Raw genomic sequence first — 19,338 nt, 5'->3', positions numbered from 1 at the left:
TCATCCTATATGCCAAACTGGGCCTGATATCTGAGACACACCACCCCTGAGCTGCCTCCCCAGGGTAGGAGAGGATTTCCAAACATCATGTTCCCAGGCATTCATCTCCTTCTGATCTTTTCCTTTCCCCAGCTTAGAGCAATACCTATTACACAGGGGTTTTAAAAGGTTTAGGAATCTCCTCTGATAGGTGCACCCTGGCATGCATGGATTTTAAGCACTTTGGCCATTATTCACCTCTCATCTTTCCAGAACCGTGTACCAAAAGGCAGCAGGATAATGATTTTGCTGCTACTGTCCCGTATTGGAGGCCAGAGGCGTGGGCCCTATTTATTTGTTAATTTAGTTTTATTTTTTTTTTCAAAAATTGAAATGCAGTTTCCTTTTCTTCATAGATATAAAAATAATACTTTTGAAGTGCAAATAAAAGAAGAATGTAGAAAGTGAGCATTTTTCTCCCTCACTCCCCTAGTCCCACCCCACACGCCTCACAAGATCACCAGTAGTAGTCATTTGGTGCAGATCTTCATAGTCTTTATTCTATGTATATGTTCTCCTTTTCTAAAATAAAAATGGAATCATCCTATTAATAATGTTTTAGGATTTGCTTTTCCCCTTGCTATAACACAAATTTATTTTACAACTAAAATGTTTATACATTATTTGTGTAATTTTCAAATTTGAAATTGAAGGCTGGGTGTGGTAGCTCACGCCTGTAATCCCAGCACTTTGGGAGGCTGAGGCGGGCGGATTGCTTGAGCCCAGGAGTTTGAGACCAGCCTGGGCAACTGGGCAACATAACTACACTTCATCTCTACAAAAACTAAACAAAAATTAGCTGGGTGTGGTGGCGCATGCCTCTAGTCCCAGCTAACTCAGGAAACTGAGGTGGGAGGATCACCTGAACCTGGGAATTCGAGGCTGCAGTGAGCTATGATTGTGCCACATCACTCCAGCCTGGGCAACAGAGCGAAACCCTGTCTCTAGAAAAATAAATAGAATCAAAGAATAAAAAAACACAAAGATTTTCCTCATGTTATTAAATATTTTTCTACAACATCATGTGTCATGGCTGCGTGGTATATGAACAAACCATAAAGCATTTAATTCCCCATTTGCATTGTTTTCAATTTTTTACTATTACAGACAGAGCTGTTGTAGATATCTTTGTCCATAGGTATTTGTGCACTTATGTGGCTGTTTCTGCACTTATGTGGCTGATTAAATTCTAGAAGGGAAATGGCTGGGTCAGAGAGTCAGCTTGCCCTCCAAAGTGCCCAGGACTTTTGAATGCTTGTTGGATGAGGCCTTTGGAGAAGCATTGTAGCATAGGAGTTAAGAACATGGGTTCTGCAGTCAGGAAGACTCCTGCTCTGTTACTTTCTAGTCAACTTCTTCAACCTCCCCAACCCTCAGTTTCCTCCTCTGTAAACTGGGATGATGAGGGCACCCACCTCAGGGGGACACTGTGAGGATTACAGGAGATGCTATATGTAAAGTGCTCAGTGCCTGGCACAAGTGGAGGTGCTCCTTAAATGACTGCAATTATTCAGTACCCTTGGGGCTTTGAGGCTGTTAGGGCTCTTATATCTTTGGTGAGGATCATGCTTGCAGTTTCCTGGCACCCCCAGTCACTAAGGGTGGTGGGATGAATGCAACTGAGAACAAGGCCTGGAAGTCAAGTGGCCTCGTCCTCACTCTGGTGGCAGCTCTCTCTCCAGTAACCCCCTTCCCAATGCCCAATGCAGTTAATTCTGGCAGAAACAGAAAGGAAGCTAGAGGTCTTCATCTCCATCCTACCTCCCAGGAGATGGCACTGCTTTAGTGGGTACAGGGTGGGGGCCAGGAAAAGGTGACTTCAGAGGAAAGGCCATGCTGACCCCAAATCTCCCCCTCTTAGATCCTGGACAGCTCCTCAGTGCAGGCCTTTCTTCACACGGGTGAAGGTCTTTAAGGGCCCTGTTAAAATGAACAGTTATTGGATGAGGGAAATAGCCATTCCCCCCTACACCTCTTGGACCCCAGCAAAGCCCGTGGTCATGGGAGCTTGAGCCTTGTTCTGAGGAGGGCTGGTTAGAGGGGAGGGCAGAGCCAGCTAGGGCTTCAGACTGGAGCTTTAGGTCAGCAGAGTCAAGGGCACTGAACATTTAAGGGAAGGGAAAGATGGACCTGAAAGGACAGTGAGGGACACTTTGCTGAGGCCAGCTTTGAAGGAGACCGGTCTGCCCCTCCCCACAACACTCTCTCCATAGAAAAGATAACTGGAGACGGTAATTTAGTTCTACCCATGTTTATTGCTACCAGCTGGTCTCCCTCCACCCTCTCATATTTACACCCAACCCCTTCCCCAAAGCTAGCTTTTACCAAAGTTCCTGGTAGGAGGTCAAGAAGTGTGTCCACTTAGCCGGCAGTCCTAGATGTAGTGGACGCTGTTTGTCCCCAGGCCAGTTGGGCACCAGGAAGGGCTACTCTGGGGATTCAGGGCATAGACTTCGTACTGGGGTCAAGGGAGGCCCCCACTCACAGATACTCTCCTTTCCTTCTGGGGCTCAATGTACACCAAAACCTTCAGAAAGCAAAGTTGGAGTGGTGGACCCCCAATGTCAAGTTTAGTGCTCTCTTTGCTTGTGAGGACCCACACAAGTGGCCAACTCTGGACTCAGATCCACAGCTGGCTTCCGAGAGGCAATTCTGTCCTTGGAAGCCAGGTTTGACCATCTGTAATCAGCCTTGTGAGAAGTCTCGTTTGAGGGGGCCAGGGATGGAACGGGAGGGCGCATATCGTATGAGGTATGGGCATTGTGTTAAGCTGGGGGAAGTTGCAGCTTGTCCTGAATTACATGGAGAGGAATAAAGTGGGTGAGTAGGAGGAGCCATTTCATCTGAAAGCCTGAGGCCCCTCTGGTCCCCTCGATAAACCCCACTGGTGTCCCAGGCCACAGGTAACAGGAGAATAGACATTTAATGTCACAGAATGTCAGAGCAGGCAAGGCCTTCAGTGATCACCCTTTCTAACCCCAACCCGTCCTAAGCCTAGAAAGAGGAAGCCACTTGGTTCAAGTCTCATAAGATTTAGTGGCCAAACCTCTAAGAAAGCTAGGGAGAAGGAAAGTGGGAATGGTACCTGTGGATTTCTTCAGGCCTTATTTAGGGGAACTGGATTTACCCATGGTCAGTTTGGGTTCTTTTAAATGGCCAGCTTCCCTAGGGTTTTTAGACTGACCTGAAACATTGACTTGGCCCCCTTTTCAGGAGCAGTGCGACAGGGGTAGGTGGTGTGGGGGTGAGGAGGATTTGGAGGCCTTGTTGGTGAGGGACATGGGCAGGGTTTCCCAGTGCCCCACTTGCTGTGGCCGTGGCCATGGCAGGGGAGCAGTTGGTGCCAGGAGGGGCTGCGCTGTCAGTCGCTGGTGGAGGGCGGGGCTCAGGCAGGTGGGATGTGCCCTTGGGCGACTCCCCAACCACTCCAGCTGAGCCTGGAACCTGTAGGGCCCTGGCCTGGCCTCTGTGGCCCTAAGTGTCCCTGGGGAAGCAGGGCCAGGCTCAGTGCCAGTCCTCAGGACCTGGGCCACCACGGGAGGCTGGGCCCACTCCTACAGCCTTTGCAGCTGGGTCCCAGCCTTGGCCTATTGCCACCGCCACCTCAAGGTGCCCCGGCCAGGGAGAGGCCTTGCAGCTGCTCCTCAGTGCCTGCCAGCTCTGCGTCATCGCGCCCGCTCTCCGAGCCCTCAAAGCAGCCTGAGTCGCGCGGGATGTCCACCTTGGGTTCCGACACTGTGTGTGCCACTGGCTCCTGGCTGCTCTCGGCGCCCTCTTCAGCCTCCTCACTGCCAGCTGCCAGGGACGAGAGAGGGAGACAGAATATGGGGGTGGAGGTAGGGACCTTGGGAAATACACCATAGGCAGTCTCTCCTTCTGGGCACCTGCCACCGCCCTGCCCCTCTCCTCACTGCTTCCAGCTTAGAAGCTGGTAGGAGTTGTTTCCAGGCCAGCTCTGCAGTCCAGGAGCTCACACTTCTTTAGCACTAAGCTGGAGCCAGGCAGTGGGCTTGAATCCTGGCTCTGTTATTACTCAGCTTTGAGGCCTCAAGTAAGGCTTTGCCTTCTTTGGCCTTAAGGGTCCCCTTTGATCCAAAGGAGGTTGGGCCCAATCATCCCTACAACTCCTTTCTCCCGTACACTTTCCCTGAAATTCTAATTCAAGTGGAAAGTACCTTTCCACTGCAGAGCAGTCCTAGGGCAGAGCGTGGACAGAAGGCAAGGCCAGGGCAAGCCTCCCCTCCCTGGAATGCCGGTGGGCACACACCCTCACCAGGCCGCTCCTAAAGCCACTCACTGTCATAGTCCAGCAGCAGCTCGGCGGCCGTGAGCAGCTTGGCCCGGTGCTGTGGATCCATGATGTTCAGCTCATTGAGGTGTGTTTCTCGCAGCTCTTTGAAGTCTTCCAGTGTCTGGTAGCCATTGAGCAGGAGGGTGGATGTGTGCTCCTGTAGGCAGAGGCAGGCCATCGGCACAGCTGCTTACCAGCCACCCCTGCCTAGGTCCTCCCCAACTACGCATAGCTGTCATTTCCTGGTCCCCATCCCTGGGGCAGTTGTGCCTCCCTGATACTAGATACTAGTGAGGACCAAGCTCAAACCTCCAGGCCGATGCGCTCCAGCAGCTCATGCAGGGTCTTAGGCTTGGGCCTCTTGCCCTTGCTCTGTCGGCGGCTGGGGCGGGCATGCCCCACGGCCTCCTCGGGCAGCACATCCACATAGATGAATTTGAAAGAGCCCACCTTGCCATTGAGTAGGCCCAGCCACGTGCCCACAGGTGGCTTTTCAATGATCTGGATCACATCTCCTTTCTGTTGGGGGAGAGGAGAGGAGAAGGGAGCAAGGGAGAGAGGATATGGGGGGCCTTGGCCTCCACTGACACTGTCATAGCCTGGTTCAGTCCAGCTTCCTTTTTGGGCACAGCCTGCCAGGCTCCAGAGAAGCCCGGATGCTGATCTTACCTGCAGTTTCAGCGAGTCGTGGTCATAGGGGCTGGGAGTGAAGTCGGTGTGGACTCGTGCCCGGCCACAGAAAGGCCCTGTGTACTGGGGGGCAGGTGGTTCCTCCCCGAAGCTGCCAGAACCTGGGCTGGGGCTGCAGAGCTCACTGCCTGCAGGAGATGGGGCAGGGAGGAGGCTCACCTTTGTCCTAGAACAGCTGAGACAGTGCCTAGCAGGTGCCTTCCAGGGGACCTGCCTAGAAATCCCAAGGGTATACACCGGGAAGGCAGCTGGGCTCTGGCAAGCTTTACACTGCAGAAGGGATTCTGAACCACCCCCTTGGCTACCGACCAGGAGCACGGCTTCACCTCTGGGCCCTTGGACATGAAAAGAGTTGGCAATGGGAGGAGAAATGGCTCACTGACCAAAGAATGGGCAAATTAGGAGGGCCTCTAGAGAACAACTGGGCCAACACTCCAATGAACAGATGCGGAAATCTGAGGTCACACAGACCAAGTGAACTGCTCAAGGCTTCTCATTTTATAACTGGCAGCACTGAGTCAGTCCATTAGACTCCATGTTCCCTGATACCCACTCCAACGCTCCCTCCACCCAGGAAGCTATGCCCTGCATTCATATTTGACTTTCCCTGCTTAACTCAATGTGTAGTTACAATGTCACATAGAAACTCAGTTGGGCTCCTTCTCCCTGGGAAGTACAGAGTAGTGGGCATTTTGAATGATTTTCAGTCGGGGGCAGGGAAGTGTCTGTGGAGGCAGAGAAAGCAGGAAACTTGGAGTGGACTTGAGGGGCAAGAAAGGCGGTGCTGAATGGGGCTGCAGAACCCAAAGCCCCTGCCTGGACGAGTTCCCTGCTGGCACCTCTTGTCCTGTCCCATGGACTTCTAGAAGATGCCAGGTGATGCCCTGAGCCCAGCAACTATGGTCTAGGGTCAAGAGGCTGACTCTTCACAGCTGGAGACCTCATACGCCCACCCCCGACTGGGGCATCAGAGGCCCAGGGATCTGTAGCCTCTAGCTCCCCTTGGAAAGGTGGGGACGGGCTGGTCCAAGAGGGTGACTGAGACTCTTCCTCTGCCCGTGGGCCTCTCCGGGGCCTGAGGATAGCAAGTGGAAGTTCCTCTACGGTACATCTGAGTTCAAGACTGGGTCATCTTGGGCAAGTCACTTAACCTCCCTAAGACCCTGTTTCCACATCAATAAAGCAAGGATAACAGTACTGGCCCCATGAGGTTGTTGAGAAGATTTAATGTGAAGAGGACTGAGAATGTTCCCAGCAGGCAAAGAGTAAGCATTCATTTCTCTTACCCCCCGCCCAGACAGTGTGCCACCAGCACGGCTGTAACCCAGTCCTTTCCTCCAGATTCGGCAGGTGTCCCCCGCATCCCCTACTCACCTGTTGATGCCTGGCGGCTGAGCACCGGAAGTTCATGCTCCTCTTGCTCAGAAAAGGCCAGCGCCATCTTCTCAGGGCCAGGGCTGTCCAGGCTGTAGTCTGGAGATGTCGGGGAGGCAGAGCCCTCCTCCAGAGTGTCTGCCTGCAGGGAGGGTAGGCGGGAAGCTTTAAGGAGCCTTGCTGGGGTGTGCATGAAGCTGAAGAAATGGGCCTGGGCTTAGTGAAGAGCTAGGGGCTGGCTCAAACCCCAACTCTACCACTTATAGGCTGAATGGCACTCTCTGAGCCCTAGTTTCTTCCCCTTTTGTAAAAATGAGAGTGACAGTCCTTGCCCTGGTTACCTCACAGAAACAGGTTCAACCAGGGCACCATGTGGATGTGCTTTTGTCAGCCTCAAGTGCCGATGTACATACAGAAAAGACCACGGTGGCACAACCTGGACTCAACCATTGCTACCGCACAACTGGGCAGACAATGTCGCTAGAGAGGAAACTACTTTTGCCTGTGTTTCTGTGTGCCAGGCCTGCCTGCCATTTCACTGAATCCTTACAGTGACACTTGAAGGTAAGTGGTATTGTTGGCCTGAGTTTACAAATGAGGAGTAAGGCCCAAGGGTTACTTACTCCTCATCTGTAAACTCAGGCCAAGGGAATTCAGGTTCAAGTCCCAAGGCAACCCACAACCAAGCCAGACTCCAGAGCTCCCCCTACCTCACCACACCTCAGTGAGGTGATAACTGTTTAACAGCTGGCCCTGATGAGTTGCCAATTCCTGTGTTGTAAACACTCCCCTCCACGGCCAATGTCAAGCTACCATTTTGACATCACTGGACGTGTTGTCTGAAATGAGGGTGAGGCTATTGCCACCATGAAGATGCTATGGATGCACGTAACCTCAGCAGCATTGATAAGAGTAAAAGGTAGTACAAGAATTAGGAAGTGATGAGTTTTGAAGATTTACTGTATTACCTTTGTTCGTTTTTACAAAATTTTATTTTTTTAAATTTATTTATTTAGAGACAGAGTCTCCCTATGTTGCCCAGGCTGGACTCTTACTGGGCTCAAGCAATCATCTTGCCTCGTCCTCCTGAGTAGCTGGGATTATAGGTGTACACCACCATGCCCAGTTTACCTTTTTAAAAAAATATAATTAACTGAATTGTAAGTTTCTTTAATTTGATTTTTAATAATGGTTGTGTTTAACAACTGGCTTGCACAATTTTTGACAGTTTGACCAACTGCTCTTGTGAGCTGGTATAAGCCCAGTACGAGCCAACTCCAGCACACCACTGCCTCAGTGGCTCCTTTTAGAGCCATGGCAACCCAAACCCACTGTGTGATTTAAGCTTCTTGGGTCATGCCTGCCCCACAGCTGCCTGTGCCAACTTTCCTCCCTGGGCTGAAGCCAGCCTTCTCTGTTTTCTCTCTTTTTTTTTCTTTTTTTTGAGACGGAGTTTTGCTCTTGTCACCCAGACCAGAGTGCAGTGGTGTGATCTTGGCTCACTGAAACCTCCACCTCCCGGGTTCAAGCAATTCTCCTGCCTTAGCCTCCCGAGTATCTGGGATTACAGGCACCTGCCACCACGCCTGGCTAATTTGTTTTGGTATTTTTAGTAGAGACGGGATTTTGCCATGTTGGCCAGGCTGGTCTCGAACTCCTGACCTCAGGTGATCCACCTGCCTTGGCCTCTCAAAGTGCTGGGATTACAGGTGTGAGCCACTGTGCCCAATCTGTTTTCTCTCATAGGGATTCTATGAGAGAAAATAGGCCTTCCCAATCCCGGGGAAGTTCCAAAGCAAAGCTTTGAGGTGGATGGATTGCCTCAGGCCATTTCATCTTTCTCAAGCTGCCCCTGTCCCAGGCCCGCCTCCTCAAGAAGCATCCCTTGCCCAGACTTTTCTTTTTTTTTTTTTTCTCTTTCTTTCTTTCTTTCTTTCTTTCTTTCTTTCTTTCTTTCTTTCTTTCTTTCTTTTTTTTTTTGAGACAGAGTCTTGCTCTGTTGCCCAGGCTGGAGTGCAGTGGCACGATCTTGGCACACTGTAACCTCTGTCTCCTAAGTTCAAGCAATTCTCCTGCCTCAGTCTCTGAGTAGCTGGAATTACAGGCATGTGCCACCACGCCTGGCTAATTTTTGTATTTTTAGTAGAGATGGGGTTTTGCCATGTTGGCCAGGCTGGTCTCAAACTCCTGACCTCAAGTGATCGGCCCCAGTCTCCCAAAGTGCTGGGATTATAGGCAGGAGCCACCATGTCCAGCCCTGTTGCCCAGACTTTCATCCCTTCTCAAACTCCACCCCTTCCCCCGCCAGCCTCCTGCCCCGTCAAGATTGCCTGGCTGCCTGTCCGTGGCTGCAAGTGAGTTTCCCCTCCCATGTGACCTTCCTTCTTGCATCAAATAGGGCCTTCCGGCCTGAGTAGTGGCTATTGAGGTGGTCATGCTCACATTCTGCCAGAGCGGTCCCCAGGCCCCCTGGACACCCCATCCCCTATATCTGCAGGCCTCACCATCTCTTCTGACAGGGCCTTCACCATCATCTTGCCCATCTTCCTGTTCATGGTTCGGGAAATCACTGCCCTCCACTTCTTCCCCAGCTTTTTGCCACTCTTCCCAGCATCTTCTGGGGTGGGGACACCTGAGTCATCTTCTGGAATCTGTGACAACAAAAGAGGCGATCCAGGGACCCTGGTGGTCCTGCCTAGGTCCGGGACTTGAGGCAAAAGAGGCCTTGGGGTCACAGCAGAAGCTGGAGGGGGTGGAACTGAGAGGCCCCCATCCCCTCCCCTCTTAACCCCAGCCATGTCCTTAGCCCTATAAATTTATAAATAGTTTGCTATTTAATGTATAATTGAAAGGAATGCAGGGGAGTGCTTGGTGTGGGGAGAGGTGGACCCTCTGTGTTAAAGGGGGCTTCGCCCCAACAATTCTATCTCCTCTTCACCCTCTTCCCTCCCACCCCCACCCCCCTGCCCAGGGCCTGCAGCCAGATCCCACAAGGATGCCCTGAAACTCACGTTATCATCCAGATTAAACTCCTTCTCGCTCACCACGGGGGAGCTGGGTTTGGATTTGGCAAAATCCTTGAAGCTGCTGGAGCGCTGAAGGGAGAGCTGGAAAAAGGGTGGGTGTTGCAATCAGTGGGCTAAATGGCTGCCCGAGGGCCCACATACTCGCCTCCCCCCACCACACAATACCCACAGCCCAGAGCTGACAGAGCCACATTGCCATGGGAGCCCCAGGCTAATGGGTGACGCACCTCGATGTTCTTGGGGCTACCTGGTTTCATTCCATTCTTCACCCCAGCCCTGGCCACAGACCAAGTTCCTGACCTCAAGAGCTTCACACCTCAATCGGGCCTCAGACTTAGCCTGAAATTCCACCAGTTCCTCAAGTTTGGTCCCCAGAATCCTGGAGTGAAAGACTACATGAGTCAGAGTAAATGTGTATCTACTACTAGAGACATACCTCAGCATCCATGAGCACATCGCCCAGTGTGTAACTGAGCAAATCCCTCCCAAAACCCGTGGCTCTGGCCTCCATGTCCTGGGTGTACTCTGAGCCAGGTCCCCAGTCACAGTGATAGGAACAAACACACTGGGGTCTCCAGCCTGATGAATTTGTGTCCCAAGAAGAGCAAGACAATCTGACTAGAAGCCAGCAAGACCTGGCATGACACTTTCTGGAAAAGCACAGTAGAGGCTTATTCACAGAAGGGGCCCACAGATTTAGGACATACGTGATTGGGGCTAATTTGGTAGAAGAAAGACACCATTTTCTTTTTCTTCTCAGCTTTTAATCTTAGCCACTAATGTGATGAGCTGGCAATAGTGACGTTTGCCAGTGTTTGGACTTTTAGGCATGACCTATTATTGTTTGTGGTCTGTGTTGATGAGATGTTTTTCAGGATATGAGCTTTATTTTATTATTATTATTTTTTGTATTTTTAGTGGAGACGGGGTTTCACCATGTTGGTCAGGCTGGTCTCGAACTCCTGACCTCAGGTGATCTGCCCACCTCGGCCTCCCAAAGTGCTGGGATTACAGGTGTGAGCCACCATGCCCGGCTGAGCTTGCCTTTTTTTTTTTTTTCTGAGATGGAGTCTCGCCCTGTCACCCAGGCTGGAGTGCAGTGGCGAGATCTCTGCTCACTGCAAGCTCTGCCTCCCAGGTTCATGCCATTCTCCTGCCTCAGCCTCCTGAGTAGCTGGGACTACAGGTGCCTGCCACCAGGCCCGGCTAATTTTTTGTATTTTCAGTAGAGACGAGGCTTCACCATGTTAGCCAGGATGGCCTTGATCTCCTGACCTCGCGATCTGCCGCCTCAGCCTCCCAAAGTGCTGGGATTACAGGCGTGAGCCACCGAGCCCAGTCTAGTGAGCTTTCTTAAATATATATGCATGCACATGCAAGGTAGCAGCCAGAAACCAGGGCAAGGCAGGTAAGGGGGACAGGCCCTCGACACAAGAAGTTAAGGCTGAGCCTGTATCAAGATAAACAGTCAAGACCAGAAGATACACACAGGAACCAGGGTTCACAGATGGCCAGACAGATAGAGTGGGATAGACTGCAGACACCCGAGATAAGGGCTTGAGGAACTGAAGCCCCAAACCCACACAACGTTGAAGGTTTCACATCCTCTTTCCTACTAAAGGGGTTGTGTGTGTCCAGTGACAAACTCCCAGGGCAGGGGCAATATCACCTGTCCCCCACCAACACACACACAAATAATTGGCCCCAACTCCTGGGGACTGCAGTGTAGCAGTTTAGTACTCTTGATGGGTCTTGACCAAAGCCAAGTCAGCAATTGGGGGTCAGGGGTCACACATTCCTAAAAGTCACAGCAAGGTAGTTGATGAGAAACTAGGTCAGTGGTCAGGCCAAGCAGACGCTAGCACGATTGGGGCCTGATGGGTGGGGTGCCTGCAGCCTCTGTCAGAAAGCCTCCTCTGTGTTGCCCTGGGGAGCTGAAAAGGGGGCCATAGGTGGGTGTGGGGGAGGGGAAGCATGACCACAGGGTGACCACTCTGGTTCACCTGCATCTCCTCCATCTTCCTTTCTTGGTTGTCCCCTCCCACTATTCTTTCCTCTTTTTCTCCCTTTCTTTCCCCTTCTCTCCTCCACCTTCCATTTATTTCCTCCTCTTGTATGGCTAGGATGCAGCTGCCTGGATAACTTCCTCCTCTTATTGCATGGAAAAGAGGGAACGGAGAGAGGGTGGGCATCGGGCTGGCCTGGGCCCAAGGAGGGCAGGCTGGGCTGCTATTTATAGGCCGATGGGGCCTATTGTGGCCTTCTCTCCACCAACCCTCAGCCTGATCTGCAGACCAGGAGGCTAAGAGTCGCCCCTGAAACCCTGGGGACTGGTGAGGCTGGAAAGCAAGCAGGAGGGCAGGCATGGGGCCGGAAGTCGGCTTTGTTGGGGAAGAGTAAATTCACTGCCTGCCTGCCCTCTAATTGCAGCTCTTTCCCAAGGCCTTTTCCTGTCATTAATCTGCAGTCTGGGGGCTGGGAGGAAAGGCCTTTGGCTCCCAGACCCTTGTGCGAGGGTCCCTCTGTCTCAGTTTTAGTCCAAAGTGGGAGGAGATAATCACAAAGGACTATAGAGATGGTGCTGGGTCTTGGGCCCAGTTGGCTACTCTCAGCCCAGGGAGATGGAAAGGACAAACACATGTTCTTTGGGTGATCGAGTTTCAGGGCCCTCCAGGGTGGCATTTTGCCAAGCCTACCTCCAACCTCAGGGACAGCCCCAAGTATCTTGACCGCCTTTCAGAGAGAGGTGACCCCCATTCAGGGTTGAGTTGAAATTCTTGAGCCTGGCTGGCTTTTCTGCTGGCTTCCCTTTGGAGTGAGGACTTCCTGGGAGTCGTGCCTGACGGGGGAGGTGGTACCATACACTGTTGGCCCCCTTTTCACTTCATGGCTCAGGGGAATGTGTGGGCCTCTTGGAAAGAGCTACATTTCAAATGTATATTACATTTGAAATATACTAAATATATTGTTGAGTATATATGTATTGTATATTACATTTGAAATATATATTGAAATATATATTGTTGAGTATATATGTATTGTATTGTATATATGTATTGTATTGTATATTACATTTGAAATATACATTGAGTATACTCAACAATATATATTTCAATATATATTTCAAATGTAATATACAATACATTTGAAATGTAGGGCCACCAAAGAGTATATATACACCATATGGTTCCCCCTGTATAATTATAGTTCAAAGCCTGGCAGAACTCACCTATGCTATTGTAAGTCAGGATAGTGGTTACTGTGGGAGAAAGGGGGCATGTAGTGACAGGCAGGGGCATGAGGGAAGCTTTCTCAGAAGTTCAACTCTGGATTTGTGACCTCCGGCAAGTTATCGAACCTCTCTGAAGCCCACTTCACATCAGGGCAAGTGTTCCCATCTTGGTTCTGCCACTGATTGTGTAAACTGGGTATGTTTCTTAACTTCTCTAGGTTTCTGTTTCCTCATTAGTGGAATGAAGACAAAAGCACCGACCTCATCTGGCTGTTGTGAGGATGAAATGAGCGAGTACGCCTACAGTGCTTGGAACATTGTCTGACACGGCAGTCCCTTGTGGAATGTAGGTTTATGCTTACTCTTTCCTACACCCCACCTCCAGCCTCTTACCCTGGGCATTTCCCCACCTGGAATACTCTGCCCTTCTCTCTGTCAGCCGTAGTTTCTCACCCTTCCAATTTAAGTGGAAAACCCGCAAATGCCCATCATCTGTAGAATGGATAAATTAATTGTGGCAGAGTCACACAAAAGAATAGTACCCAGGTAGGAGACAGTACAACTGTTCCCAACAGTATGGATGAGTGTCACAAACATATGGTTGAGTAAAGGGGCTGGCCACCAAAGAGTATATATACACGATATGGTTCCCCCTGTAAGTTCAAAGCCTGGCAGAGCTCACCTGTGCTGTTGGAAGTCAGGATAGCGGTTGCCCTGGGGGAAGGGGGGGGTGTAGTAACTGGCAGGGGCATGAGGGAAGCTTCTAGACTTCTGAGAGTGTTGTTTCTTGATCTAAGTGCTGTCTACATGGGGATGTTCACATTATAGAAACTCATTCGGTGGCGCAATTATGATTTATCCACTTCTCTGTATGGATATTATACTTCTATGGAAAGATTTTTCAATTCCAGCTTAAAAGGCAGCATCCATGCAGAAACCATGCCCTGATCAATCTCTCAGAGGTCCACACTGCCCCAGCCAGCATCCTCTTCCCTTACTTCCTGAGCAAACTTGGCTTTCCCCAGTGGTCTCCTGAGCTACCCCCTCTGCTCCTTCAGGGTATCAGGCATATACTGAGCACCCTGTGAGCTCTAGGCCCTACCTCTGTGTGTGTGAGAATCCAGCAATGAGGGTCTAAACTCCTCCCGCATGCCCGTGTCCTGCCAAGCACTTCCTGTGTGCCAGCTCACTCCAGCCTCATCGCAGCCCCGCATCATATTCGCACCTCGAAGCAGAGGAGACCAAGATGCGAAATGAAGTGCCCTAGGCAGGGTGGCGCAGCTGGTCTTAGGAAGAGCAAGCCTCCAAACCCAGGTCTATGACTCTGGAAACCCAAGTATGTTGCTGTGCTCGTGCTACCTCAGAGCTCATGCTGTTGCCCCGCCCCACCAGTGTAGAAGTTAGCAGTGGATTGAGTGTAGTGGTGATGGCATGCAGGTGGTTTTTGAACAGAGCTCCTAGGAAAGCAGGTGGGAGTGCAGAGGGGGAAGGGCTCTGGCGGGGCTTTGTGGAGGAGGTATATCTGAGCTGGGCCATGCAGGGGAGGCAGGATTTCTCCAGGTGGAGCTCGGAAGGGTTTGAACAAGAATGAAAGTTAGAGACGTTGAGAGCCTGATGATGGGATGGTGGGTGGGGGAGTAGAAAAGGCTATGGAAGGCTCTTGCCCGCCAGGCCAAGGGCATGTATCCTGTGGGCAGTGAGGAGCCACTGAAAATACAAAGTGCATGCTGGCAGGGTGTGGGGGTCATACTAGAGGTGTGCTGTAGGAAGGGAGCCATGGAGAAAGTGGGGATGTGGTAGAGTAGGAGCATCCTTAGGGGAACCAAGTCCAGGAAAAATCCCTCTCCACTTCCTATACCCCAACACTGGCCTTTGGGTGAAATCAGATCAAAGGGCTTGCAGAGCAAGAACTTGAAGGAAGTGAAAGTCTCCAAAGGGCAGCTAAGAGGTCTGTCTCCCAACCCTGGGGCCTCTCCAATCCTTCACGATCCATGGGAGGCGCCATGTCCTAGCCCTACCATTCTAGAGGGCCCGCACCCTCCTCTGCTCTGCTGGCTGGAAGGTCACTCATTCCACAGCTATCTGGGTCTGCCCCACGGAGCTCTCCTGCTGATGGGTTGAATCTTTTATGCTCATCAGACTCTTCTAGCGCCTTTGAGATCAACAAGGGGACAAGAGAGTGGAGAGAGAAGGGGTCAAGATTCTGGAGTCAGACAAATCTTGGCTTGGATCCCTGCTCGGCAGCTTCCCAGCTGTGTGACCTTCAGCAAGTTGCTTCACCTCTGTGAGCCTCAAGTGTCAAATAGGGATAATGACAATATCTGCCCCTACCTCACCAGGTTGTCGTGGGGAGTGAACAAGGTAAGAGATGCACAGCACCGTGCCTGGCATCCCATGAGCTCTCACTCTGTGGTGGCTCTTAGTACTATTAAGTCTTGTGTTCTCTGTGCCAGCACTGGGGGCATGGCTCATTCTTCTTTGCAGTGTCTCCCTATCCCCACCCATGCCTACAGCAGGCACCCCCTTGTGTGGTATGCACGTGCACACTTGTGACAGGGTACTCTCACATCTATTCTTTTGGGTGATCTGTACAACCTCTTGAGGGGGGCAGATTAGGAGTTATCCTCCTTTTCAGAGGCGAGGAAACTGAGGCCCAAAGAAAGTCAATGAGCTGTCCAAGGTCCTACAGCTAGAGCGTGGTAGGATTCCAGCTCAGCTTTCTTGCCCCCTGTCTGGCACATTCTCCATTGGCAGGCCCAAGAGGAGAAGCAGGGGCAGGAGAAAGAGGCCTCTCTTGCCTTTGTGCTTTCCTCTCCACCACGTCATCTCAGCCTCTGAGAAGAAGGGACTAGCAGTGATTCAGCCAGCCCGCTGCCTCTGGGCCTGGGGAAGATGCTCTGTACCTTCTGGAAGCTTGGCTTCTGGGGGACATTTCCATAGTCTGGGGCTAGCAGAGTGTGTGGAGGCAAGCTCATCCCAGCTCTGGAGGCTGGCACCGGCTCTGGCAGGGGTTGGGGTGGGGTTTGCCTGGACTACTCTCCCCGAAAGGACCCCTTCTCCTGGGAGAGACCTGGGGAAATCCCAGGGGCCCACTTGCCTGCCGAACACAGAATCTGGGTAATTGAAGCTGGGAAAGAAAAAGGGGACTTCTGGCTTCTGTGTGCCCCTAGGTACGTCTTCCTGATGTGGCACAGGGTCCCAGTGTCAAAGTGTCAGCTCTTTCTCACACTTTCCTCCAGCTCAGCGCCCCTGTGGTTTGAGGCCTAGCAGTGTCTATAGAGCAATCTCTGTTTCCCACCCCCACCAGCCAGAGAGCAAGGGGAAGTGGCCCTGCTCTCTTAGGAGTGGCAGCCAATGGCAGTCCTGCTGGGCCTAGCACCCTGCAGGGTTTGGACGGGGATGACAGAGCCCGTGTGAAGATTCATGAACCTCCCCCCTCCCCCGCCCACCACCACTGCAACCTTAGAGAAGCAGCTGGGGTGGGGAGAATACAGCCGGAAGTGGCAGCCACCCCAGGACCTGAGAGCTGGGGCAGGATGCACACCCCACTGCCCCGAGTCTCAGTCTTTCAGCTGCCTTGGCCTCCATCTCTGAGCTACTCCCCTGACAAGGGGGATCCACCATAGGGCACCTGGGCTGAGTTCCAGGGAAAATTGGCGGGGGATAGCCTGGGCCTCTTGGACCTAGTTCAGGCCTGCTTTGGGACTGTCCTAGCATCCCATTGGATGTGTAGGATATACTTGCTGATTGTCTGGGAGAATCCTTCAATTGAATTAAAGAATTAGGTCTAGAAATCCTCAAACCCAACCAAAGAAATCTGGAAATCCTCAAATTCAACCACAAAATCCTAGATCTGGCACAGCCTTCAAGGATTCTTCCAGTCCGGTCTCTGCCCCAGGGGGATGAACACCTCAGCCATCCATGACAGCTGTTTTTCCTCCTGGCCTTTAAAATCCTCCCTCCTCAGCCTTCACTCCTACTCACCACCTCAACTTAATTTCTCATTCCCCACCCAGGAAGAACCTGTATGCCCCCTGCATCCCACTGCACTTCCGGATGCCTTTTCCCCCAAGACTGGAATGGCCTCAGGCCCCCATCTCCAGGTTGGCTCCATCTCGGGTAGGGCCTGGGAGCTACCACAGAGCTGAGCCAAGTGGGCAGGGTCTGGGCCATGGCCAAAGTGGAGGAGGGGGTGGCAGTCCTGTGAGCATCATGGCTCCAAGCTGGGCAGCCCAGCAGGGCCCTTTGAGTGAGATGGCTCCTGAGAGGCCGTGGCCGGGGCAGAAGTGGCAGCAGGACCAGCGTAGAGGAGAGATAGTTAAGTACAAGCTTAGGGTTCAGCTTAAGCATTGTATTTTGTTATTCTCAAATTCTAGTCTAAGATTCTGGCCCCTAATTTTAGATCTTTTTTCCCATTCTTCTAGGGTTGAATTGCATGACTCTAGATTTCTAAGGATCTATTCTGTAACTCTGTTGCTCCAGAATTTTAAACATCTCTTCTGTACTTCTGTTAACCTTTGGGTCCCTGTCCCGTTGCCTTCTAGGTGAGTGGCCCTCACCTACAGACTCAACATATGGCCTTTGGCTCTTCCCACTTCCAAGAGTCTTGGAAGGGATGGGTCGAGCAAGCAGAGGAAAGGAAGATGTGAGTTCCCAAAATGCTCCTCACCTTTTTCTTCTGAGTGGGCTCCTTCTCACTGGCATTGGAGGGCTTGCGGCGCAGCATGGTCCTCCACCCTGGGAGACTCCGTCCCTGCTCTCCTAGGTGTCAAGATGCAGAGGCCTCTTGCTTAGCCTCACCAGAACTGCCCGGGGGCACGGCATGAACCGAGCCTTCAGCTGCCACTCTGACTGCTGCAGTGGCAGCTTGGGGGTGCGGGCCATGGACACCCGGCAGCAGCAGCATACAGGAAGCCCTGCCACGTGACCTACTCTTACAGCAATCGCAGCCCCTGCCGGCCCCTAGGGAGGAAGGAAGTCCAAGCTTCAGTCTCCAGAGATTCTGATGCAGACGGCTCTTGGGTTGAACAGTCAGAGAAAGTCCCTACCTTGTTGTCTCATGTCGATCATCATCAGTCCTTCTGCTCCATCTTCCTAGAGGTGGACAATCAGCTCGACATTATATGGCGTACCCAAGCCCTTTATCTCACTGACCAGAATCCAGAAACCAGAAGTTGGACCATCTGGCTGCCTGTTGGATCAATGCTCCCGGTCAACTCACGTCTTCAAGGTCGTCACTGCCATCACTACCACTACCATCACCCCTGTGACCATCACCACTGCTACCATCACTCCTATCAATAGCCATCACCATACAGCCATCACCCCTACAGCCATCAGGCCTGCAGCCATCCCCGCTGCCATCAGCACACCTATAGCCATTGTCACTATGGTAATCACCTCTACAGTTGACATCCTTCAGCCATCACCTCTACAGTCATCACCATTGCTGCTATCACCCTTCCAGCCATCATCCTTACAGCTGTCACCCTTCTGGACATTACAGCCAACCGCACTCATGACCCTCTCACCCCTATAACCATCGTCCCTACAGTCATCTCTCCTACAACCATCATCACATCCGTGCAGCCATCAGCCCTGCAGCCATCACTCCTACAGCCATCAGTACACCTAAAGCCATCATCACTAGAGCAGTCACCCCTCCAGTCAGTACCCCTCAGCCATCATGAGTATATTTATCACCACCACAGCTGAAAAGCACTTACAGCCAACTCCACACCTCTAGCAAGTATCCAACAGGCATTTATCAAACACCTATGCAGTATATTCAATTTGTGGGTTGTCTGTGGCAGATTTTAATAACTTTAATAACTTCTTGGTATTACAAAAGCAACTTGTATTTGTCATACAATTTCACAAACACATAAACAAAAAAAATTTCAAAATTTCCCATCATTGTCCTCTACACTGTTTTAAGCATCTATCTACTCTCTGTCTATAAACATTTTTTTTCTTTTTACAAAAATCATACTGCTCAGAAAACAGATAATTGGTTTGGGGAGAAGGGGAGGGGAGAGAAGGGAAGGGAGACATCACACAGGGTAACAGGAAGCTTTTAGGAGTGATGAATATGTTCACTATCTTGACTGTGGTGATGATTTCATGGGGGAATACACATGTCAAAACGTATCAAATTGTATACTTCAAATATGTGCAGTTTATTGTAGCTCCATTATACCTCAATAAAGCTGTTTAAAATTTTTTAATTAAAAAAGGTCATAATTCACACTATTGGTGTCTGCTTTTCACACTAAACACAGTATCTTTTTTGTTTTTTTTTCGAGATGGAGTCTCTCACTCTGTCTCCCAGGCTGGAGTGCAGTGGCGTGATCTCGGCTCACTGCAACCTCCACCTCCTGAGTTCAAGCAATTCTTGTGCCTCTGCCTCCCAAGTAGCTGGGACTATAGGTGCGTACCACCACCCTGGTTAATTTTTGTATTTTTTGTAGAGACAGGGTTTCACCATGTTGCCCAGGCTGGTCTTGAACTCCTGGTCTCAAGTGACCTCTTTGCCTCATCCTCCCAAAGTGCTGGGATTACAGGCGTGAGCCACTACGTCCAGCTGAACACAGTATCAAGATTGTCTCATGCTATGAAATAGTCTTCAACTACGTAATTTATAACGGCTGTGGAACATCCCATTGTGTGGATGTGCCGTGCTTATT

At 51.2% G+C, this 19,338-nt stretch overlaps 1 protein-coding gene and 1 long non-coding RNA gene across 3 annotated transcripts, besides 6 other annotated features; one reads left to right on the top strand and one right to left on the bottom strand.

Annotated features, from left to right (window-relative positions):
- Nucleotides 2,275-17,527, bottom strand: SASH3 (SAM and SH3 domain containing 3). 2 transcript variants are annotated; one of them, NM_018990.4, is made up of 8 exons: nucleotides 17,322-17,527; nucleotides 9,406-9,501; nucleotides 8,899-9,045; nucleotides 6,395-6,536; nucleotides 5,000-5,148; nucleotides 4,640-4,849; nucleotides 4,337-4,487; nucleotides 2,275-3,834 (listed from the first exon to the last, which is right to left on the bottom strand). In NM_018990.4, exons 1-8 carry the CDS (start codon nucleotides 17,376-17,378, stop codon nucleotides 3,644-3,646), a joined length of 1,143 nt encoding a protein of 380 aa, NP_061863.1. In that variant the 5' UTR covers nucleotides 17,379-17,527; the 3' UTR covers nucleotides 2,275-3,643. The 2 variants fall into 2 exon arrangements, with proteins under 2 accessions (NP_061863.1, XP_006724826.1); XM_006724763.1 differs by having other exon boundaries at nucleotides 4,640-5,148.
- Nucleotides 11,983-12,072: an enhancer, noted in NCBI's record as "active region_29930". NCBI's record gives its function as "activates an Ori minimal core promoter by ATAC-STARR-seq in GM12878 lymphoblastoid cells {active_cell/tissue: GM12878}" and the evidence as "EXISTENCE:reporter gene assay evidence [ECO:0000049][PMID:35858748]".
- On the top strand, nucleotides 14,942-18,901 carry LOC124905215 (uncharacterized). The gene is made up of 2 exons (XR_007068328.1): nucleotides 14,942-15,013; nucleotides 17,197-18,901. It is a non-coding gene; the product is annotated as an uncharacterized LOC124905215 (long non-coding RNA).
- Nucleotides 15,570-15,619: an enhancer, noted in NCBI's record as "active region_29929". NCBI's record gives its function as "activates an Ori minimal core promoter by ATAC-STARR-seq in GM12878 lymphoblastoid cells {active_cell/tissue: GM12878}" and the evidence as "EXISTENCE:reporter gene assay evidence [ECO:0000049][PMID:35858748]".
- Nucleotides 15,730-15,909: an enhancer, noted in NCBI's record as "active region_29928". NCBI's record gives its function as "activates an Ori minimal core promoter by ATAC-STARR-seq in GM12878 lymphoblastoid cells {active_cell/tissue: GM12878}" and the evidence as "EXISTENCE:reporter gene assay evidence [ECO:0000049][PMID:35858748]".
- Nucleotides 17,177-17,236: an enhancer, noted in NCBI's record as "active region_29927". NCBI's record gives its function as "activates an Ori minimal core promoter by ATAC-STARR-seq in GM12878 lymphoblastoid cells {active_cell/tissue: GM12878}" and the evidence as "EXISTENCE:reporter gene assay evidence [ECO:0000049][PMID:35858748]".
- Nucleotides 17,287-17,366: an enhancer, noted in NCBI's record as "active region_29926". NCBI's record gives its function as "activates an Ori minimal core promoter by ATAC-STARR-seq in GM12878 lymphoblastoid cells {active_cell/tissue: GM12878}" and the evidence as "EXISTENCE:reporter gene assay evidence [ECO:0000049][PMID:35858748]".
- Nucleotides 17,617-17,776: an enhancer, noted in NCBI's record as "active region_29925". NCBI's record gives its function as "activates an Ori minimal core promoter by ATAC-STARR-seq in GM12878 lymphoblastoid cells {active_cell/tissue: GM12878}" and the evidence as "EXISTENCE:reporter gene assay evidence [ECO:0000049][PMID:35858748]".

The sequence above is a fragment of the Homo sapiens genome, chromosome X, assembly GCF_000001405.40.
Source record: "Homo sapiens chromosome X, GRCh38.p14 Primary Assembly".
Taxonomy (NCBI): Eukaryota; Metazoa; Chordata; class Mammalia; order Primates; family Hominidae; genus Homo; species Homo sapiens.
This window is presented reverse-complemented; position numbering and strand designations above follow the sequence as displayed.

Bases quoted from the DNA above. Each gene is read 5' to 3' on its own strand.
- SASH3 (XM_006724763.1), bottom strand. From the start codon at position 17,378: ATGCTGCGCCGCAAGCCCTCCAATGCCAGTGAGAAGGAGCCCACTCAG. The intron at 9,502-17,321 runs GTGAGGAGCATT...CCCTTTTTCCAG, and splicing joins AGCCCACTCAGAAGAAAAAG to CTCTCCCTTCAGCGCTCCAG. The intron at 3,835-4,336 runs GTGAGTGGCTTT...CGTCCCTGGCAG, and splicing joins GCTGCTGCTGGACTATGACA to CTGGCAGTGAGGAGGCTGAA.